General features: G+C 40.6%; 3 gene segments (V, D, J or C) and 1 further gene, besides 9 other annotated features; all 4 read right to left on the bottom strand.

Annotated features, from left to right (window-relative positions):
* Window positions 1-20,478, bottom strand: part of TRB (T cell receptor beta locus) — a 514,277-nt gene that overhangs the window by 246,819 nt on the left and 246,980 nt on the right.
* Window positions 2,185-2,193: a recombination feature (RSS_nonamer).
* Window positions 2,194-2,216: a recombination feature (RSS_spacer).
* Window positions 2,217-2,223: a recombination feature (RSS_heptamer).
* Window positions 2,224-2,670, bottom strand: TRBV12-4 (T cell receptor beta variable 12-4). The segment is given in 2 exon segments: window positions 2,224-2,521; window positions 2,622-2,670. Coding segments are annotated over 2 exon segments (347 nt in total), but the record flags the coding sequence as incomplete, so codon positions are not given.
* Window positions 5,499-5,507: a recombination feature (RSS_nonamer).
* Window positions 5,508-5,530: a recombination feature (RSS_spacer).
* Window positions 5,531-5,537: a recombination feature (RSS_heptamer).
* Window positions 5,538-5,984, bottom strand: TRBV12-3 (T cell receptor beta variable 12-3). The segment is given in 2 exon segments: window positions 5,538-5,835; window positions 5,936-5,984. Coding segments are annotated over 2 exon segments (347 nt in total), but the record flags the coding sequence as incomplete, so codon positions are not given.
* Window positions 11,112-11,120: a recombination feature (RSS_nonamer).
* Window positions 11,121-11,143: a recombination feature (RSS_spacer).
* Window positions 11,144-11,150: a recombination feature (RSS_heptamer).
* Window positions 11,151-11,588, bottom strand: TRBV11-3 (T cell receptor beta variable 11-3). The segment is given in 2 exon segments: window positions 11,151-11,448; window positions 11,540-11,588. Coding segments are annotated over 2 exon segments (347 nt in total), but the record flags the coding sequence as incomplete, so codon positions are not given.

Here is a 20,478-nt window from a genome sequence, read left to right as displayed (position 1 = left end):
GTAGGCCTATGCAGGCTGTAGGCTTTTCTCTGAGTGAAACGGGAATCTACTGTATGGTTTAGTGGACGAGTGACAACATCTAACCTAAAGGATCACTCTGACTTCTGTATTGAGAGTAGACCCTGGGTTGGTGGCTAGAATGAGGGAGGCCAAGATTAGAAGTAGAGGAACCTAAGAGGAGTCTATGACAACTACAGAAGATAAATCGAATGAGTTCCCACGGGGATTTTTTAGTGCCCCTCCCAACTCTGCCATTCATAGGAACCTACGGGGAGTTGGCTTTAATCGGGGTTGATATTATAGTCTTAAATCTTAAAATATAATTAAAAGAATGTAAGAATTAAAGCGTAAGAGTTAAAAAGTTGTGGGCTCTCAGGGGGCTGCTGCTGGGCCACTGGGTCTCTCTTTGTGGATTTTGTCTCCCGAGGCCTGGAGCAGGAGGAACTCCAGTCCATCCCAGACTCCATAGCAGCCCACAGTTAGGTGCACCAGGGTTTGCTGATGTCGTCTTGTGCTGTTCCACCCTTGGCTCTGGCAGAGCTGCTGCCTCACTGTCCCAGAAAAGCCTGAGCCTGTAGTTTAGGTAGGATGCCACATCTGCGTCCTCAAGACCTGTTATCCATGCAGGAAAAGATGTTGGGAAAGGCCATTTTGCCAGCAGGGGTGAGGGTAGGGACAGAGAATCTATTTTTAATAAATAACATCCTAGAAAGACCAAAAAAAAATTAAAAAAATAAAAGTTATGGGCTCTATGAACTGGAGAGGTCAGAGAAATAGAAGAATTGTAGGAGTTACTGATATAGACAGAAGGGAGGTAGTGGTAGAACGACAGGACAATTTAAATAGAAATATTGAAAGATCTTTGTTGTTCCTTAATGGTCTATAATCATGGAAACAAGTCTGAAAATGATTAGAGGGGAAAAAGACTCAGGATATAGGAAGTCGAGAAACTTAGAAGCCTCGCGAGTGAATAAATTGTCTATGTGATGAATAGTATTAAGAATGATGACTGGATTAGTAGCAGGCAGAAGGATTAAAAAAAAGAAAATTTCTGAAGGTAATAAGGTAGGTACAATGAGAAGGGGTAATATTATAAAGTAATATGTACAAAGCAGCTGGGCTTTAAAGTAGGAGGGAGAAAATGATCTGGAAGCACAGGGAGGAATTCTGCACTATTTCCATCTTAAAAGTCAGGATCCCTACACGTAAAAAAAAAAAAAAAATGGGAAAATGACAAAGTGGAATTTGGCATATGGCAGAACTCCAAAAAACCTCAAGTGCCTTGGGCACTCAAAATACAGGGATCATTCGCCTCACTTGTCAATGATACCATGATAGGGATTTAGAAGGAATCAGTATGTAAATATGAATATCACACAGAAATTATAACCACTCAGAATGGATTGCAGGTATTGTATAGAAACTTCTCATATAAATAAGAAGAAAAATGTAAATTTGTGTGTTAAGGACATGTAATCAGAAAGGAAACAGGGCAACAGAAGACTGGACATGCCTGTCTGCTTTTAGATACCCCAGTGTGGGTCCTTACCAGGAGGCGTCATCAGTGCTCTGTGAGTGTGCAAAGCCTTTGGCCAGCACCCGGCTCATCTTACGCAGAACAGAGACAAATGGATCCTTAGATTCCAGGCCAGGTAGCTTACATCTAGTGTACTAACCTGCTTGCTCTAGCCACATTTGAGACACTCTTTAGGAGTAGTGAAAAATCCTGAAGTAAATGTAAAGTTGAAATTGGCATTATAAAGGAATGTCCACAATCATAGTAAAGAAGAACTTTCTTTTACAATCTAGAAAACGTGTGAGGGAAATTTCTGTTTGCAGCTTAGAGTTAGGAGAGAATGAAGAGGGCCTCACAGTTCAGAAAATGCAGCCTTTCTCGGGAGCTCCCACCATTCTCATGGGATGGCAAATGCAGGAGGGCAGGGAAATCTCCAGTGTCAGTAGCCAAGGTTTATCTTACTCCTATGTGTTTTGAGCAGAGACAATTTTTTAAGGAATCCTCAAAACCCATTTCATAATCCTCAAATCAACATAAGGTTTCCTATGTTGAAACCTCATTTTCTGTCTTTGTCACAACCCAAAACCACTTTTTCTCATGGGGAGGGAGGAACAGGAAAGACTTTGCCCAGGACTGCTGGGAGGTAGAAGGAGAAGGAGAAACACCAGGGTTTCTGCACAGGAAAGGGGTGATTCTGCAGCGCTGTGGCTAAACTGCTGGCACAGAAGTACACAGCTGAGTCCCTGGGTTCTGAGGGCTGGATCTTCAGAGTGGAGAATGATGCATTAGGCATCTTAGCTGAGAATCGATCCTCGGGCATCCCTGAATCATCTATCGGAACGTTGTTGTTAAAGTAAATGAGCAACTCCAGTCCCCGCATCATGGTCTGTCTGTACCAGAAAAGGTAGTCGTGTCCTGAAATTGGTTTACATCTCAGAGTCACTTCTTGTCCCATCTCTGTCACCTCGTGCCGGGGTGACTGGATAACTCCAGCATCTGTGTGCTCTATGAAGGAAGACAGAATTGGGCGTCAGAATAAGGAAAATATATGAGATCATCCATGCAGAAGCCCAGCCTGATGATGGTAAATGTTCTGAAGACTCACTTGCTACCAGGATGCAAAGGGACACACAGCAGAGGGTCCAGGAGCCCATGGCAGAGTGAGAGCAGATGTGGAATATTCCAGACCAGGCCCTCTGTGAACATGAGCAAAGAAATGAATTTTGTGACATTTTATCCCCACAGAATGCATCTGTCAGTGACATCACTGAATGGGCCACCACCCCCAACTTTAAGAGGAGGCTGCATCTCTGGGAGATGAATCAGGCAGGAATTAACTCAACTATAGCAGATCTGAGATACAAATGCACACATGCAGAGGCTCCCTTAAGATTTATTTTGATATTATCAATTCACGGTAGCTTCTCCATAACATGCCTTACCTAGGAGCTTGCCAACTATATATATCTCCTCAAATTGCAGGTAATTAAAGATGAACTCATTGTCTTATTGCAAGCCAGCTTCTCTGCAAACTCTCCTCTTCCTCTCACTGGTGGCTTGGTGTTTCTAGTCCTCTATGTGTACCTAAATTATCCATCAGCGAGTTAGGAGTTAGGCATCTGAGAAGATGCATGTCAACTGCATTGTTAGGGATAGAGGAACTGAGCTGATGCCCTGAGAACTGATTATATTTGAAGCTCTTCTCTGCAGTAGAAAAAACCTGGGTTTATTTATCCTTGAACCATATTGAATTCCCAAAGCCCGTGGAATGGAACTTCTCTCCATTCTCTATTCCCACAATAAAACAGAGGATAAGATTGTCTTATTTTGAAGATTTGCAGCTACAATGTTCTAGTCTTGAATTATATCTTATTACTACCCCTAGAAAAGAAAAGTTCAATGTTTTTTCATCATTAACACCTGACCTTTCCTCCGGCCCCCTGCCAACCCCTTAATCCCACTTCTCCAAACCTACTTCCTCTCAGAGGTTCTGGAAAGCTGAGAGAAATGTTTGTTTTTTGAGTTGATCAATTAACTTACTTGCCATAAAAGGGCATATTTTTGCTCTTGGCACAGAGGCATGCTTCTGAGTCCCATGCAGTTGAAAGCACTTGCCAATGTTAAAGGGCATTAGTTTGCAGACTAGCTTGTGTTTCTGGAGGGGCCTATTTCCCTTTGGGCTCTATCCTTTTGCAGGGTCTGTTGGACCCAGGATACAAAACTGTGGTCATAATTCTGTTTTAAAAAATTTAATTACTTACCACTCCCTGTAACCAGGTACCAAGTGTGGCAGGCAGCATGACAACCTCCCAAAGATGTCCATGTCTAATTCCCAGAAACTGGGAATGTGTTAAATTATGTGGCAAGGGGAGAAAGGAATGTTCCAAATGGAATGAAGGTTGCTAGTCAGCTGGCCTTAATATAGGGAGTGTATCCTGGATTTTCCAGGTGGGCCCAATGTAATCACAAGTGTCCTAAAATGTGGAAGAGGGGGGACGAAGAGTGAGTGTCAGAGTGATGCAGAGTGAGCAAAGGCTCAGCCAGTCCTTGTTGACTTTGAAGATCGAATGGGGCCATGAGCCAAGGAACACTGGTGGCCTCTAGAAGTTGAAAAGGAGAGAAAAACAGTTCTCCCCGAGAGCCTCAGGATGGAATGCAGCCCTGCCAACACCTGGATTTTATCCCGGTTTTGGACTTCTGACCTGCAGAACTGTAAGATAATTAGTTTTTGTTGTAAACCACCAAGTTAGTAGTAATTTGTGTCAACAGAGATTGAATACCTTCTAGTAGCCATGGGATTGATGGGTAAGAGGCAGAAGCCAGATACAAGATACAGGTAGAGACAGATGCATGATCACATGGAAGGAATTTAAAATCAGGCTAAAGGAAGCCTATAATGCAGCTGGGCTTTAGAGAAGTAGGAAGGAAAATGATCTGGAAGCAGCAGGGAGGAATTCTGCACTATTTTCATCTTGAAAGTCAGGACCCACTAATCAAAAAAAAAAAAAGGAAAGAAAAATAGGAAAATGACACAGTGGAATTGGGCTTATGGCAGAGCTCCAAAAAACCTCAATGGCCTTGGGCACTCAAAATATAGGGGTCTTTTGCCTCAGTTGTCAATGATACCATGATAGGTATTTAGAAGGAATCAGCATGTAAATATGAATATCACACAGAAATTATAACCACTCAGAATGGATTGCAGGTATTGTATAGAAACTTCTCATATAAATAAGAAGGAAAATGTAAATTTGTGTGTTAAGGACATATAATCAGAAAGGAAACAGGGCAACAGAAGACTGGACATGCCTGTCTGCTTTTAGATACCCCAGTGTGGGTCCTTACCAGGAGGCGTCATCAGTGCTCTGTGAGTGTGCACAGCCTTTGGCCAGCACCCGGCTCATCTTACGCAGAACAGAGACAAATGGATCCTTAGATTCCAGGCCAGGTAGCTTACATCTAGTGTACTAACCTGCTTGCTCTAGCCACATTTGAGACACTCTTTAGGAGTAGTGAAAAATCCTGAAGTAATGTAAAGTTGAAATTGGCATTATAAAGGAACGTCCACAATCATAGTAAAGAAGAACTTTCTTTTACAATCTAGAAAACGTGTGAGGGAAATTTCTGTTTGCAGCTTAGAGTTAGGAGAGAATGAAGAGGGCCTCACAGTTCAGAAAATGCAGCCCTTCTCAAGAGCCCCCACCATTCTCATGGGATGGCAAATGCAGGAGGGCAGGGAAATCTCCAGTGTCAGTAGCCAAGGTTTATCTTACTCCTATGTGTTTTGAGCAGAGACAATTTTTAAGGAATCCTCAAAACCCATTTTGTAATCCTCAAACCAACATAAGGTTTCCTATGTTGATCCCTTCTCATTTTCTGTCTTTTTCATACCCCCAAACCACTTTTTTCTCATAGGGAGGGAGGAACAGCAGAGACTTTGCCCAGGACTGCTGGGAGGTAGAAGGAGAAGGGGAAACACCGGGTTTTCTGCACAGGAAAGGGGTGATTCTGCAGCGCTGTGGCTAAACTGCTGGCACAGAAGTACACAGCTGAGTCCCTGGGTTCTGAGGGCTGGATCTTCAGAGTGGAGAATGATGCATTAGGCATCTTAGCTGAGAATCGATCCTCGGGCATCCCTGAATCATCTATCGGAACGTTGTTGTTAAAGTAAATGAGCAACTCCAGTCCCCGCATCATGGTCTGTCTGTACCAGAAAAGGGAGTTGTGGCCTGAAATTGGTTTACATCTCAGAGTCACTTCTTGTCCCATCTCTGTCACCTCATGGCGGGGTGACTGGATAACTCCAGCATCTGTATGCTCTATGAAAGAAGACAGAATTGGGCGTCAGAATAAGGAAAATATATGAGATCATCCATGCAGAAGCCCAGCCTGATGATGGCAAATATTCTGAAGACTCACTCGCTACCAGGATGCAAAGGGACACACAGCAGAAGGTCCAGGAGTCCATGGCAGAGTGAGAGCAGATGTGGAATATTCTAGACCAGGCCCTCTGTGAGCATGAGCAAAGAAATGAATTTTGTGACATTTTATCCCCACAGAATGCATCTGTCAGTGACATCACTGAATGGGCCACCACCCCCAACTTCTTTAAGAGGAGGCTGCATCTCTGGGAGATGAATCAGGCAGGAATTAACTCAACTATAATTGGTGTGAAATAGAGATGCACACTTGCAGAGGCTCCCTGGATATTTGTTTTGATATTATCAATTCACGGTAGCTTCTCCATAACATGCCTTACATAGGAGCCTGCCAACTATATCCATCTGCACCTCAAATGGCAAGTATTTAAAGATGAACTCATTGTCTTATTTCAAGCCAGCTTCTCTGCAAACTCTCCTCTTCCTCTCACTGGTAGCTTGGTGCTTCTAGTCCTTTATATGTACTTAAAGTATCCCTCAGTGAGTTAGGAGTTAGACATCTGAGAAGACGCATGTCAACTGCATTGTTAGGGATACAAGAGCTGAGCTGATGACCTGAAAACTGATTATATTTGAAGCTCTTCTCTGCAGTGAAAAACCTGGGTGTGTTTATCCTTGAACCATATTAAATTCCCAAAGCCCATGGAATGTAACCTCTCTCACATTCTCTAGTCCCACAATAAAACAGAAAGGGGATAATATTGTCTTATTCTTGAAGATTTGCAGCTAAAATGTTCTAGTCTTGAATTAAATCTTATTACTACCCCTAGAAAAGTTCAATGTTTTTTCATCATTAACACCTGGCTTTTTCCCCTGTAACCCCACTTCTCCAAACCTACTTCGTCTCAGAGATTATGGAAAGCTGAGAGAAAGATCTTTTTTTTGGGTTGGTTGGTTAAGTTACTTGCCAACAAAAGAGAAGGGCACATTTTTGCTGTTGGCACAGAGGCATGCTTCTGAGTCCCCTGCAGTCAAAAGCACTTCCCAAAGTAAAAGGGCATTAGTTTGCAGACTAGCTTGTGTTACTGGAGGGGCTATTTCCATGTGGGCTCTATCCTTTTGCAGGGTCTGTTGGATCCAGGATATAAAACTATGGCCATAATTCTGCCTTCAAAAAGTTAATTGCTTACTACTTCGTGTAACCAGGTAGCAAGTGTGGCAGGCAGCGTGACGACCTCTCAAAGATGTACATGTCTAATTCCCAGAAACTGGGAATGTGTTAAATTATGTGGCAAGGGGAGAAACGAATGTTCCAAATGGAATGAAGGTTGCTAATCAGCTGGCCTTAATATGGGGAGCGTGTCCTGGATTTTCCAGATGGGCCCAATGTAATCACAAGGGTCCTAAAATGTGGAAGAGGGAGGATGAAGAGTGAGTGTCAGAGTGATGCAGAGTGAGCAAAGGCTCACCCAGTCCTTGTTGGCTTTGAAGATTGAATGGGGCCATGAGCCAAGGAACACTGGTGGCCTCTAGAAGCTGAATAGGAGAGAAAAATAGTTCTCCCTGAGAGCCTCGGGAAGGAATGTAGCCCTGCCAATACCTGGATTTTAGCCTGGTTTTGGACTTCTAACCTCCAGAACTGTAAGATAATAAATTTTTATTGTTGTAAGCCACCAAATTAGTGGTAATTTTTGTCAATAGAAATTTAATACCTTCTAGTAGCCATGGGACTGATGGGTGAGAGGCAGAAGCCGGGTACAAAATACAGGTACAGACAGATGCATGATCACATGGAAGGAATTTAAAATCAGGCCAAGGGAAGCCTATTCAAAAACATATTCTTATGTCTGCCCAGGCTTCATCTTCTTCCAGGAGACACACTGGACTATGCCTCATACGTGGATATGGTCGTGGCATCACTGTGATTTTCATCTCCCTGGCGACAGGGTCCCTCTGCTGTGGTCCTGGGTAGCACCTCCCTTTCTTGCTGTTCTACTCTCACAGAGCAGGTAGGGTTGGCCTGGGCTGGTTTGGGGCCAGGCTCTCCAAGGCTCTTTTGACACAAGAACTGCTTCTCTGGTTTTCCAAGCTCAGAACATGGGCCCTGCACCACCTCAGCTCCTTGTGCCCCTACATCTTAAGCGAGCTCAGAGGTATATGCACTGCAAAGTACACCTGTCACTCAGCCCCACTCAAAGCACAATTTAAAGCAAAACCCACCTCTACAATGGAGGAAGCGTCGGTTACTAATTCCTTTATTCCCAGCCATCATTCAAGACATCTGCAAACCAACTCCCTGAATTTAGGTCCAACCTCGGGGTTATTCTTAACCATCTTCCAGGGAGCAATCTCAGCTCCTCCCCATAGACTCTGGATGACATCGAAGCCACAGTGCCTCCTAGTGGCCAGTAGGCCAGAACAGCACAAATGTGCTCTCTTTTGCCAGGACACAGGGACTTGAGCTTTATTTCACTGAGTACAAGGGATATAGGATATTATGATTAGTTGGTGTTAAAAGGCCAACAAATAATATTAGTGCTATGGGGTAGGACAGAAACACCCCAGACATTGACAATGCAGTCAGAAAGGTGGAAACATAATGTCAGTTTTAATACTGATAAGCAGCAGGTCTCATTGTGAAACTCGATGGGCTGGCTAACATGATGCTGAAACAGAATTTAACCCATTCCCTATCCCCTCCAAACTGCAGGCCACCCTGCATGGAAGAGAGAGTTCCTCACTGATCTTAGCACATGTTGAAAATAATCTACTTTTCTCTAGGGAACCAGGAGGAAAACGGGAAAATAAGGAGAGACTAAACTAAAATGAAGAGAGGAAATAGTATAACTGATTTCCCTTCTGTAGAGAAGATTTGGCAAGGAATAGGAAGATTAAAACAGGATTATTACTTTCGGGGTGCCCCACAAAATGGGGTGTGTTGTCCCAGGAGATTGGCTTTAAACGGGGTAAAACAATAGCCACATATCAGTTACTCCCTCTAATTTTGACCATTGCCCCAGGAAATACTCATAAAACAGCACAAATCCACCCCCAGAACTCAGTAATTAAATTAATTTGAAGCCCAATCTGTACTATTTGACCAGATCTCAGCATTCTCTTGATTGTCTTTCCCATCTTGCCATATGGTCCAATGGAACACAGAGGTTATGTGATAGAAATAAATAACAGTAGAAGAATACTCTAAAAACAACATGCCCCAAACAAAGATATGTCTCAATTGGATTATGAATGGTCTTGATAAGTTTTTTTAAAGTATTTGATATCAGAGTTTAACATCTCTATACCATTTAAGTTGAATATTAGACAAATCACAAAGAATCTAACATTAAAATACAAGGAAAATTAGAATTCCAGGTAAAGTTATTTTCACCTTAATCCCAATAATTAAGGATAATGGCACTCACTCTTTCTGTTGTTATCTACATAGTTGGAAAAAAAATATCAAAAACAACATTAAAAATTTTAGTTAAAGTCCTAAAAAAATAATAATAATTTGGCTGGAATGTTGGTGAGGGCAAGAGCTCCGGGAGGTGAGCACAGCAGTCCATTTGCCCTAGCGGGCATTTGCAGATCCTGACTCAGCACTCAGGAAGCTGACTCACAGGCCACGGGGGTAAAGGCAAAGCCCAGAACATACCGAACGTGTCATTGCCAAATTCCACTAGTAACAATAAGCCAGAGACAAACCTGTTCTCCAGATGCTCCAGGACACCTCAAGCCTTAAACTGTGATTCAGGGAGCCTGACTGTTTATATCTACATGCACTTTCAGAAGCACAGAAAAATGATCTCTGCAGAAAAATATCCATCCTACCCCCAAAATTATTTCTACAACTATAGTGTTTGGCAAAGTGTCAAACATCATCAGATTGGTAAGGAGAAATACAAATGCCATGAAAACTCAAGCACCATAACTGAGAAGCAGCACAAAAAGAAAATCACAAAAATATCCTATGAAGATCTTAGAGGTGAAAATGATCAGACAGACTCTGAAACAACTGTGTGTCCTATATTCAAATAATAAAAAGTGATCTCAGAAAATGTTATGAGGGAGTTATTAACTATAACTAACATAGCAGATTGGGAAAAGAAAAAAATAGAAATTTTGACAAGGAGATGGTGAGTGAGTGGTCATTTTAATCCATCACATCAGTGAGGTTTTATTACAGGAATAAAGGACAGGGAGATGTGCAATGAACAAATGGAAATAAAGCCTGACTTGCCATCAGGTATTAGATTGGATAAGGAGGGGAGGGAAGTCAGGAGGGGCAAATGGACAGTGACAGTGCTTTCAGACAATTTCCAGTATGCTGCTTTTTAAGTAATTCTAACCAATACTTCAGAAAGATTTCTAGTATTAGAGAGTTTAGGCAGAAGTAGAGTAATGAATATGGAGCTAGACACACAGAGTGTATATTATCAGAGAGGGCAATTGATTGCTTCAGAAGTTCTTACAAGGAATATTTCAATCCACTAAGGAACTTTTAATATACAAGGCAGACACGTAGAAATGTCCTCTGAACTGACTGGTCCAGGTCTAGATATATTCTTGGGCTGGGATGATTACATAGAAGAGTTAGAGAGTTCAGGAGAAGTAGAATTCATGTGGAGCTAAGATTTGCACCTGGTTGCCGGGGTATCCATTTGTGTGCATTTCTTTGAACTGGAAAAAGGGCTGAATAACATACCTGAAATTATAATCACTATCATTAACAACATCATTATTAGCATACTTTACCAAAAATAAAACAGAAGGAAAAAGATTTCCAAACACATACTGTGTGTTGAGACTTTGCTAGACAGCCGGGGTGTCACTAAGGGTAACAAGTCATTCACATGCTGACAACTACATAAGGGGAGCCTGCTGTTTGCTGCTTGGTATAATCACTATCTGTATTATTAAGTTTATTGTACATGTTTCATGATCACATACTTTTATGGGAGATAAACCATCACTACCCCTGAGGACTCAATCTCTGATAAGTCACTTTAGGTTTCTTGAGTTGTCCCCAAGAAGTGTTTCAAATCCCTGAGACACATTTTCAAGCAACAATTATAGCGCTCATGTTGTAAGAAATAGTTCATTTCCTCCCACTATATGAATCCTAGCTATATCTGAAAACTCACTTCTTTCCTGGGAGGATGAGGAATAAGGAAAGGCTGCTGTGAGCTGAGTAGAGAGGAGAGAGTCCTGCGGTTTTCTGCACAGGAGGGAAGTGTCTCTGCTACACTGTGTCTAAGCTGCTGGCACAGAGATACACGGCCGAGTCCCCAAGCTCTGCAGGCTGGATCTTGAGAGTGGAGTCTACTCCTTTGAGCCTCTCTGCAGAAAATCGATCCTTAGGCAACTGTGAATCGTCTACTGCTTCCTCATTCTCATATCGAATCAGAAGCTCCGGGCCCTGTCCCAAGTTCTGCAGGTACCAGTAAAGGGTATTGTGGCCAGAAATAGGATTGCACCAAAAAGCCACAGGCTGTTTTTTCTCTATAATCTTATATCTGGGAGACTGAACCACTCCAGCTTCTATGAGTTCTGTGGGGGAAAAAGAATTTTAAAATAGAAGGAAATGACTAGAATAATCACTGGGAGATTATGTGAGGATCATGGTGTTCCTAGGACTCACCTTCCACCAGGAGACAGAAGGCCACCCAGCAGAGGAGCCTGGTACCCATGGCAGGGTCAGGGCAGGATGGAAGCTTTGCCAGATCAGGGTCACTGTGAGCAGGAGCAGAGGAAGTGGGATGTTGCTGTCCTTACAGAGAAGTTCCTACAGTGACATCATTGTCTCCACAAATGCTTAAGTTCTTAGAAAACAGTTGTTGTAAACTAAAACAGAGCTAAAAGTTTGTTTAATGTATTCATAGACTGGAAGTTCATCCAAGCGTCCTCACTCACATATTCAGGGCTTGGGGGATTAGATCTGTCACTACATCTCTAGGCCTATCCTGTGCTAGATGTTTCTACGTGGAAGTCTCAAAGGCAACTCAAAATAGATATATCAATTAGTGACCTCTTGATTTTATGTGTAATTTTCCTTCTCTTTGGGTATTTCTTTTCTACCAGGTCCTCCATGCTCCCAGTCCTCTAGGGTAATTGACACAGCTTTATCCTAGAACTGCATTGAACTAGCTGACATACTCTAACCTAAAGGGGTAAAATAATTCCCTGAGCACAAAGTTGGGAGGTTTCATTTTATCTGAAGGCCAATGACTAGTTCCCTTTTTGCTGTTATCAATCTTCATTATGTATTATGTATCAAGCCTTCACTATGATTCTGCCTGTAGTCTCTGGTCACCAATGAATTGAAAGTAAGTTCTGATATCTTAACCCAAATGGATGAAGAACACTCTAATTCCTGAAAATATCAGGGTGAATATCTAACAATAAATGCAAAATTGAGCAGGACTTCTGGGATCTAAAACACTTACACCTCTATCATATTTTACAATTGAATTGCAGTGTTAGTATCCAGCAATTTTTAAAAAATTATGCAACATTAGTTAAGACACACTTCTCCTTATCTGAGTGGTAGAGTGGGAAGGCTTGAGGGATTGGAGAAGTCCTGAGAATCAATATGAATGAACTAACCAATGACATGTGTGTTCAGAGAAAGGGAATAGTACAACTCAGCCTAAAGAAATCCAAGTTCCTAAAACCTAGGGGACACATGTCAAGGTTATCAGGTGAAGACCTGTGAGTGTAGAATTATCAGAACCATCTCTTTTCCATATAAATTGTCTATCATTGTGGTAGAAAAGCTGCTAGTCGGAGCCTGCCTTATATTGACACCAATTAATAATTTCATGGTGGAAAGTGTCTTCACATCACAGTGTCACTACCTCTTCCATCCGTGTGACCAGAGCTTAGGGCCCTGGATGACAACAGCATTGAGAGAGTGGAGGCTGGGTGGCTGGAGACAGGACCTATCAAGCTGCATGTGAAATACTTGAAATTGGGGCATCCTATTTCTAGGAAAGACATTCCCCAGGTATTCTCATGCCTCCCCTGCTTCCTGAGCACCAAAACAAATGAACAAAAAACACCCATGATTGTGTCAGGGCCCAAAGGGCCGTCTCATTGCTCAGGGAAGGAAATGCCAGAGTTCTGGAAAATCTGGTTCTTGTTAAGAATATTTGTGGTGTTACTGCAATTTGAGATATCTGGAAACATCTACAGTTGTCCACTCCCATCTTCTACATTCCCCTTACATTCTCCTGTCCATCGTCCAGGACACACTAGAATAGGTTAGGTGCTAAGGTTTCTCTGATGTTCTCCCAAGGAGGCACTTGTTCCTCTGCATGGGTCTGTGAGCATTCAGGTTGGCTCCTGGCTCTCCTCCATCTACCCCTCAAGTGGGCTCAGAAGATTCTCCACTCAATGGTTTGCTACAGTTCAGATTTCACTGCCGAACAGAACCCACTGGCATCAGTGGAGAAAGATGAGTTTCCATTGACCACTCAAAACACCTGCAAACTAGATACTGAATGCTAGGATGAAGCCACACTTTTCCTTTAAACTCAACTTCTCAGGCAATACTTAGCCCTGTTTCAAAAACATTTGGACGCCATCAAACCTCAGTGCCTCCTGATGGCCAATGGTTCAGAGCCACTGGGCTTAGGCCCTCCAGCCATGGCTCAGGGAGAGTGGTGGGACTTCTAAACAATGGAAATTAGATCAGGGCTACTATCAGACAGTGTTTGTGGGGGACTGAAGGGAATTCATTCCAGCTCCATGTGATCCTTCTGTCCTGCTAGAGACTCCTCCCCACAGACAGTGTTTCAGTCCTGCTAGAGCCCCCTCCCTGTTACACAAACACATATTATCCAACCACAATTTAGGACAAGCACTACCACTCCTCTGCTTACATTCAGGCAATTCCCCAACATCTGTGAGTTCTTGACCAACCTGTAGGGAACTCAGAATCTCCTGTTTCAGTTAAAACAGTCCTGTGTATTTACTAAACAGCTTCTTGACATGCATTGTTAGCTAAGTTTTGTGCTCATCTCAGAGATATCAGCTATTTTGTCCTCAGACTATAAATTCTCTTATCTTTTGGGGGGACTTTTAAAAATCATAGCCTGTCCCTATAGAAAAAGTACACTATAGGGCTAAAAGAAACCTTATCTTGTGTGTTTGTTTTATGGTAATTATAGAATATTTCAAAGATATTGAAAATGAATATAATAAATAGCCACCACAAAACTGAAATCATGCCAACATTTCAAGATCTTAAGATTTTTTTCTTCTAATTTTGTTTAAAAAACTGACACTTTTGGAAGAGCTGAATCATACAACAAAGAGAATATTAAAATGTATTTCAATTATTAACATCTTTTGACATTTGCTTTATCTCTTTTTGTGTATTTTACCCTCAATTTCTGAAATAAAACACTTTATTCTTAACGATTCAGTATGTCTCTCCTAAAAAGAGGCCATTATCTTAGAAAACCACAAATGCCTTTATTACACTCAAAAACTTAATATTCATATAACATTATTTTCTCATATATGCTTCACATTCCCCTTTCTCCAGTTGTACCAATGTGTCCTTTGGTTTTAATTTTTTTTCTACAGGACATTATCAAAGATTATGCATTTCTTTTGGTTGTCAGGTCTTTTTAGCTACTTTTAAACTAGACATCTCTTTGGCCCACTTATATTTTCCAACTTTCATGGTCTTGATTTTTGTAAGAGTCCATGTCAGCTGACTGGTAAAATGACCCCCAATCAGAATTTCCACATTATCAGAGGTTAAATATTTTGGCAAATACCATGCCATAGTTGATGTGTGTTTCCCATTGCATCCGATCAATTACAAGAACATATAATGCTGTCTTTACACATTTTTGGCGATACTAAATTTAACATCACAGACATCAGATCTCTCCATTGCAAAGATATCATTTATATTTTATAGTTAATAAGCAATTAGTGGAGTGATACTTTGACACAATATAGATATCTTGGTCTCCAATAACCTTTCAGATGTTGGTTTTGACATCAACTGATGGTCTCTGTCTGTAACTACATTAATGGCTACATTGATTTTCTAATGAAATTTAGTAACTAGCATTATTCTGTAACGAAGACATTCTTACCTACATCTTTTTATTGTCATTATAGCCTTATAGATTTTTAAAATTTGTTATAATTCAGTGTCCTCATTATTATGCTCTAATGTTTAGATACTCGTGTTTGGCTACTGGGAGCCCCATGAAACTGGTTCTGTGGCTTTTTTCTATGTTTTCTGGGTCATGAAACTTCCTTGATTTCTGCCAAAAGATGTTTTTGACTTTCCCTGCTCTGGATCTAGAAGAAGCCATTTCTGCTTTGTTTCTTTTAGAAACATTTAGAAATTAAATAACATGCAATAATTCTGCCCATTACTACTGGGAACACAAGTACAAAGAAATAAAGCAATTGTCCATCGACTTCATATTGCTTCTTACATATTGTATGGTTAGAGTTAGGAAATACATAATTTTTAAATAATAAGTTCATATTGATACCTCCAATTCAAATAAACACCGCAGATTTCTTCCTTGTCTTTCCCTATTTCTTATTGTATCTCTCTTCCCTTTGTAAGAACTCTGTTTCCCAGTAATGTCAATGAATTTACTTATTCTCTGTTGTACAGTCTATTAAAAATGTTTCAGAATATGCACTAAAAACACTAACAGCGACAAATCTCCCAAGTGAAGTTCAACCCCAACCTCATTTAGCCTTACAATCATAAAACTACTAAAATCTAAAGACAAAGAAAAACTAAAAAACAACTGGAAAAGAAAAGCCATTGCCTCCTAAGAAGATATACAAATGATCAATAATATATGAAAAGATGCTTAATATCTAATGTTTAGGTCTTCTATCTAAGTTCAGTTTATTACATGCAACATGTTGGAAAAGCTCTTTGACGTTGGCCTTGGCAATGATTTCTTCGATATCATACAAAAAGTTCAGGCTACAAAAGCAAAAATAAATGGGACTAAATCAAACTGAAAAGCTTCTGCACAGCAAATTAAACAATCAACAACATGAAAAGGCAACCTATGGATTTGGAAAAAATATTTGCAAACCATATGTCAGATAAGAGATTAATATACCAAATATATAAAGACCCCATACAACTCTTTGGCAAGAGAACATATAACCCTATTTAAACTGAGCAAAGGACCTAAACAGACATTTCTACCAAGAAGGCATAAAAATGGCCAAGATGTTCAATATCACTAAATGTTAGAAAAGTGAAAATCAAAACTGCTATGAGATAGCACCTCACACCCATTAAGATAGCTATTATTAAAAAGATAAGTTGCAAGAGTGTGGAGAAAAAGGAACTTTTATACACTGTTGGTGGAAAAGTAGATTGATGCACTCATTAAGAAAATTAGTGTAGATGTTCCTAAAGAAATTAAAAATAGAATTATATGACCCAGCAATCTCTTTTCTTGGTATATACACAAAGAAAATGAAATCCCACCTTTTGGAGACATCTGCACTCCCATGTTCATTGCAGCATTATTTACAATAGCCAAGATATGGAAACAACCTAAGTGTCTACTGATGGACAAATGGATGAAGAAACTGTGGCATACATATACAATGGAGTATTATTTGATCCTAAAAAAAAAATGAGATCTTGCCATTTACCACAACAAACATAGATGAACCTGGAGGACATTAGGCTAAGTGAAATAAGCCAGACACAGAGAAATAGTGTATATTATTTATATGTGAAATTTGTAAAAACTCAAATATACAGAGAGAATGAAATAGTGGTTAATGGGAGGATGGCAGGGGGAGGGAATAGGAAATGGGAATATTTAGGCCAAATGATACAAGATAGCAGATAGGCAGGATGAAGAAGTCTAAAGATCTAATGTGCCACATGAAAACTATAGTTCATATATTCAGAATTTTTTCCAAATGAGTAAATTATATCTGTTATTGCCACAGGGAGTAAATGGGTAACTATGTGAGATGATGGCTATATTAATTTGTTTCACTATAGTAACCATTTTCCTATAGGTGTGTATCTCATCATGTCATGTTATGTACCTGAAGTATACATAATACAATTTTCAAATTTAAAGTAAAAGTTCAAAAAAAGATGCTTAACATCATTAATTATTAGGAACATGTAAATCAAAACCGCAATGAGGTATCACTTCGCATTTACCAGCATGGCTGTAATAATTTTTAAAAAGAAGAACAAAACAGAAATTAAGTGTTGGCAAGGCTGTGAAGAAACTGGAAGGCTTTTACACTGTTGTGGGAATATAAAATGCTGAGGCTGCTGTAAAACACTGTTGGGCAGTTGCTCAAAATGTCAAATGTAGAATTCCCATGTGACTCAGCAATTCCACCCCTAGGTATACACCCAGAATAATTGAAAGCAGGAAAGCAGACAGATACTTGTAGGCCAGTGTTTATTGCAAGATTATTTATAATAGTCAAAAGGTGGAAACAACCCACAAGTCCATCAGCTGATGATGAGATAAACAAAATGTGGTCTATACACACGATGAAGTATTATTCAGCTATATAAAGGAGTAAAATTCTGACACATGCTACAATATGGATGAATCTTGAAAGCATTAGGCTAAGTGAAAGAAGACAGACACAAAGGGAGATATATTTTATAATTTCCCATCAATTAACTATCTAGAGTTGGTAAATTCATATAAACAAACGGTAGATTAGAGGCTACCAGAAGCTGAGAAGCATGGGAAAGATGGAGTTATTGCTTAATGGGTGTAGTTTCTCTTTGAGATCATGAAAAACATTTGGAAACAGCAGTGATGGTTCTACAACCTTGTGAATGTACGTGATTCCACTTAATTGTATATTTTAAAATTGTTAAGGTGAAAAATTGTATGTTTTATGTACATATAAAACATTTAAAAATTAACATTTAAAAACTGTGGTAATATGTATTTTATATTTGTATATAAAACTGTGGTAATGTATATACTATATATTATATATATATATGTAAAACCATGGTTATACATATATGTATAACCACAGTTTTTAAGTGTTAATTTTTAAATATCAATTAAAACCTTCAAAATGGCTAAAATAAATATTGACAACTCAATTCTCCATGATGGACCCTAAAGACAATGAAAGGAACTCAAGTAATTTAAACACACAGTCATCTCTTAGTATCCTGAGGGGATTGGTTCCAGGAAACCCTGCTGATATCCTAATCCAAGGGTGCCCACCTTCCTTACCGTCAGCCTTTGGTATCCTTGGGTTCCAAATCAGCTGATATAGAGGGTCAACTATATTGCTAATTTGTTTCAAAATGTTGCTTGTCAGAATATATCTCAGAAAGGGTTTTCTGATATAATTATTGTATTAGTCTGTTTTCACACTGCTATGAAGAAATACCAGGGACTGGGTAATTTAATTTATAAAGGAAAGAGGTTTATTTGACTTACAGTTCCACATGGCTGAGAAGGCCTCAGGAAACTTACAATCATGGCAGAAGGAGAAGGGAAGCAAGGCACGTCTCACATGGCAGCAGGACAGAGAAAGAGAAGGGAAAACTGCCACTCATAAACCATCAGGCCCTGTGAGAATTCACTCGCTATTAGGAGAACGGCACAGGGAAAACCACCCCCATGATCCAATCACCTCCCACCAGTTCCCTCCCTTGACACATGGGGATTACAATTTGAGATGAGGGTGGCGACACAGAACAAAACCATATCAGTTATAATTTTCTTCTGTAGTATAATACAGTTCCACTAGTCCACATCTTTTCTCATATTTGGGACTATCATTTCTTTGAAGACTTTCCAGTCTTCAAAATCTGATAAGTTTGCATTCATAATTTACTGTTTCAGATTGGAATACTCTGATTCTAAGTGAGGTTAAGAACCTATTCTTTTTTTTTTTTTTAAGACGGAGTCCTGCTCTGTCACCCAGTCTGGAGTGCAGGGGGTGATCTTGGCTCACCGCAACCTCTGCCTCCCAGGTTCAAGTGATTCTTGTGCCTCAGTCTCCCGAGTAGCTGCTGGGACCACAGGCACATCCCACCATGACTGGCTAATTTTTTGTATTTTTTATAGCTATGGGGTCTCACCATGTTGGCCAGGCTTGTCTCGAACCCCTGACCTCAAGTGATCTGCCCACCTCAGCCTCCCAAAGTGCTGGGATTACAGGAATGAACCACTGCACCTAGCCCAAGAACCTATTTTTATGTTAGTGTTAATTTATGTTTACTTTTCTGTGAAATGCCTATTTAGACTAAGTATTGCCATTTTATTGGATTGTCTTAGTAAGTTATGAGAATGCTTTACCCATTGTAGATACTAACTCTATTAGATAAGAACAGCTATGCTACAGAAAAAAAAATAAAAATAAATCTTAAAATCTCATTGGCTTAATTCTATGAAGTCTTACTTCCCATGTCCACAAAGCCCAGCAGGCCATAAGTAGCTTTCTTTCATGGTTTTTCACCAAATTATGACCCAGTGAGCCAGGCTGCTTCCATATTATCATTAGTCAATCTGTATTGCGTAGCTCCCAGGTTTATTAGGGCATGGCAAAAGAGTTGAAGGGTATCTGTACAGAAAACAGTCAACAGCAGGCTTGAGACTGTGGTGCTTAGAAAGTCCTGCTTGTGAGGTTGGCATTTGGCTGACATCTGGGAAGCTGGCTGGTGAGCAGTGCCCTGCACTGACATAGTTTCTCCTAACCGAGAGGAGTAGCTCATTGTGCCTAGACTGATATTGCAAACAGTATTGTGCTGAATACCAGATTTCCTTCTGGGCTGTGGATTTTGGGTTCATACTAGGCAGTGAGTGCCTCCATGACTGGCCTCCACTAAAGCCTCTGGGGTGTTGAGTCTCTGATGAGCTCCACAGGCAGAAACATTGCACACGTGTTAATGCATTTTTGTTGCTGGAAGAAGTGAGCTCTGTGTGACCCCTCCCGGGAGGAAGAGAGCATAAGGAAGCCAATGTGTGAACTCCTCTAGATTCCTCCTGTGTGTTTTCTTCATATGATCCGCTGCTGAATATTTACTATGACACTGTAATAAATCTTAACCATAAGTGCAACTGTATGCTATATCCCATGAGTCTTTGCAGCTAATTTCTGTGTCTACTTGAGGACTCCCTTCACAGTGCCACAAGTTATTTCTTTTTTTTTTTTTTTTTTTTGAGACAGAATCTCACACTGTTGCCAGGCTGGAGTGCAGTAGCGCAATCTTGGCTCACTGCAGTCTCCGCCTCCTGGGTTCAAGTGATTCTCCTGCCTCAGCCTCCCAAGTAGCTGGGACTACAGGCACACACCACCACATCCAGCTAATTTTTGTATTTTTAGCAGAGACGGGATTTCACCATGTTGGCCAGGATAGTCTCAATCTCCTGACCTTGTGATCCGCCCATCTCAGCCTCCCAAAGTGCTGGGATTACAGGCATGAGCCACCGCGCGTGGCTGCCACAAGTTATTTCTAAGGGCCAGACTTGGGATTGCCCACATCAGTTCTGCACACATCCAGTTATTCAGAACCTCTTCATATGTTCCCAGCACTTTAACTGCATGTGA

The sequence above is a fragment of the Homo sapiens genome, chromosome 7, assembly GCF_000001405.40.
Source record: "Homo sapiens chromosome 7, GRCh38.p14 Primary Assembly".
Classification (NCBI taxonomy): Eukaryota; Metazoa; Chordata; class Mammalia; order Primates; family Hominidae; genus Homo; species Homo sapiens.
The sequence above is the reverse complement of the archived record's forward strand: the minus strand, read 5'-3'. Positions and strand labels throughout refer to the sequence as shown.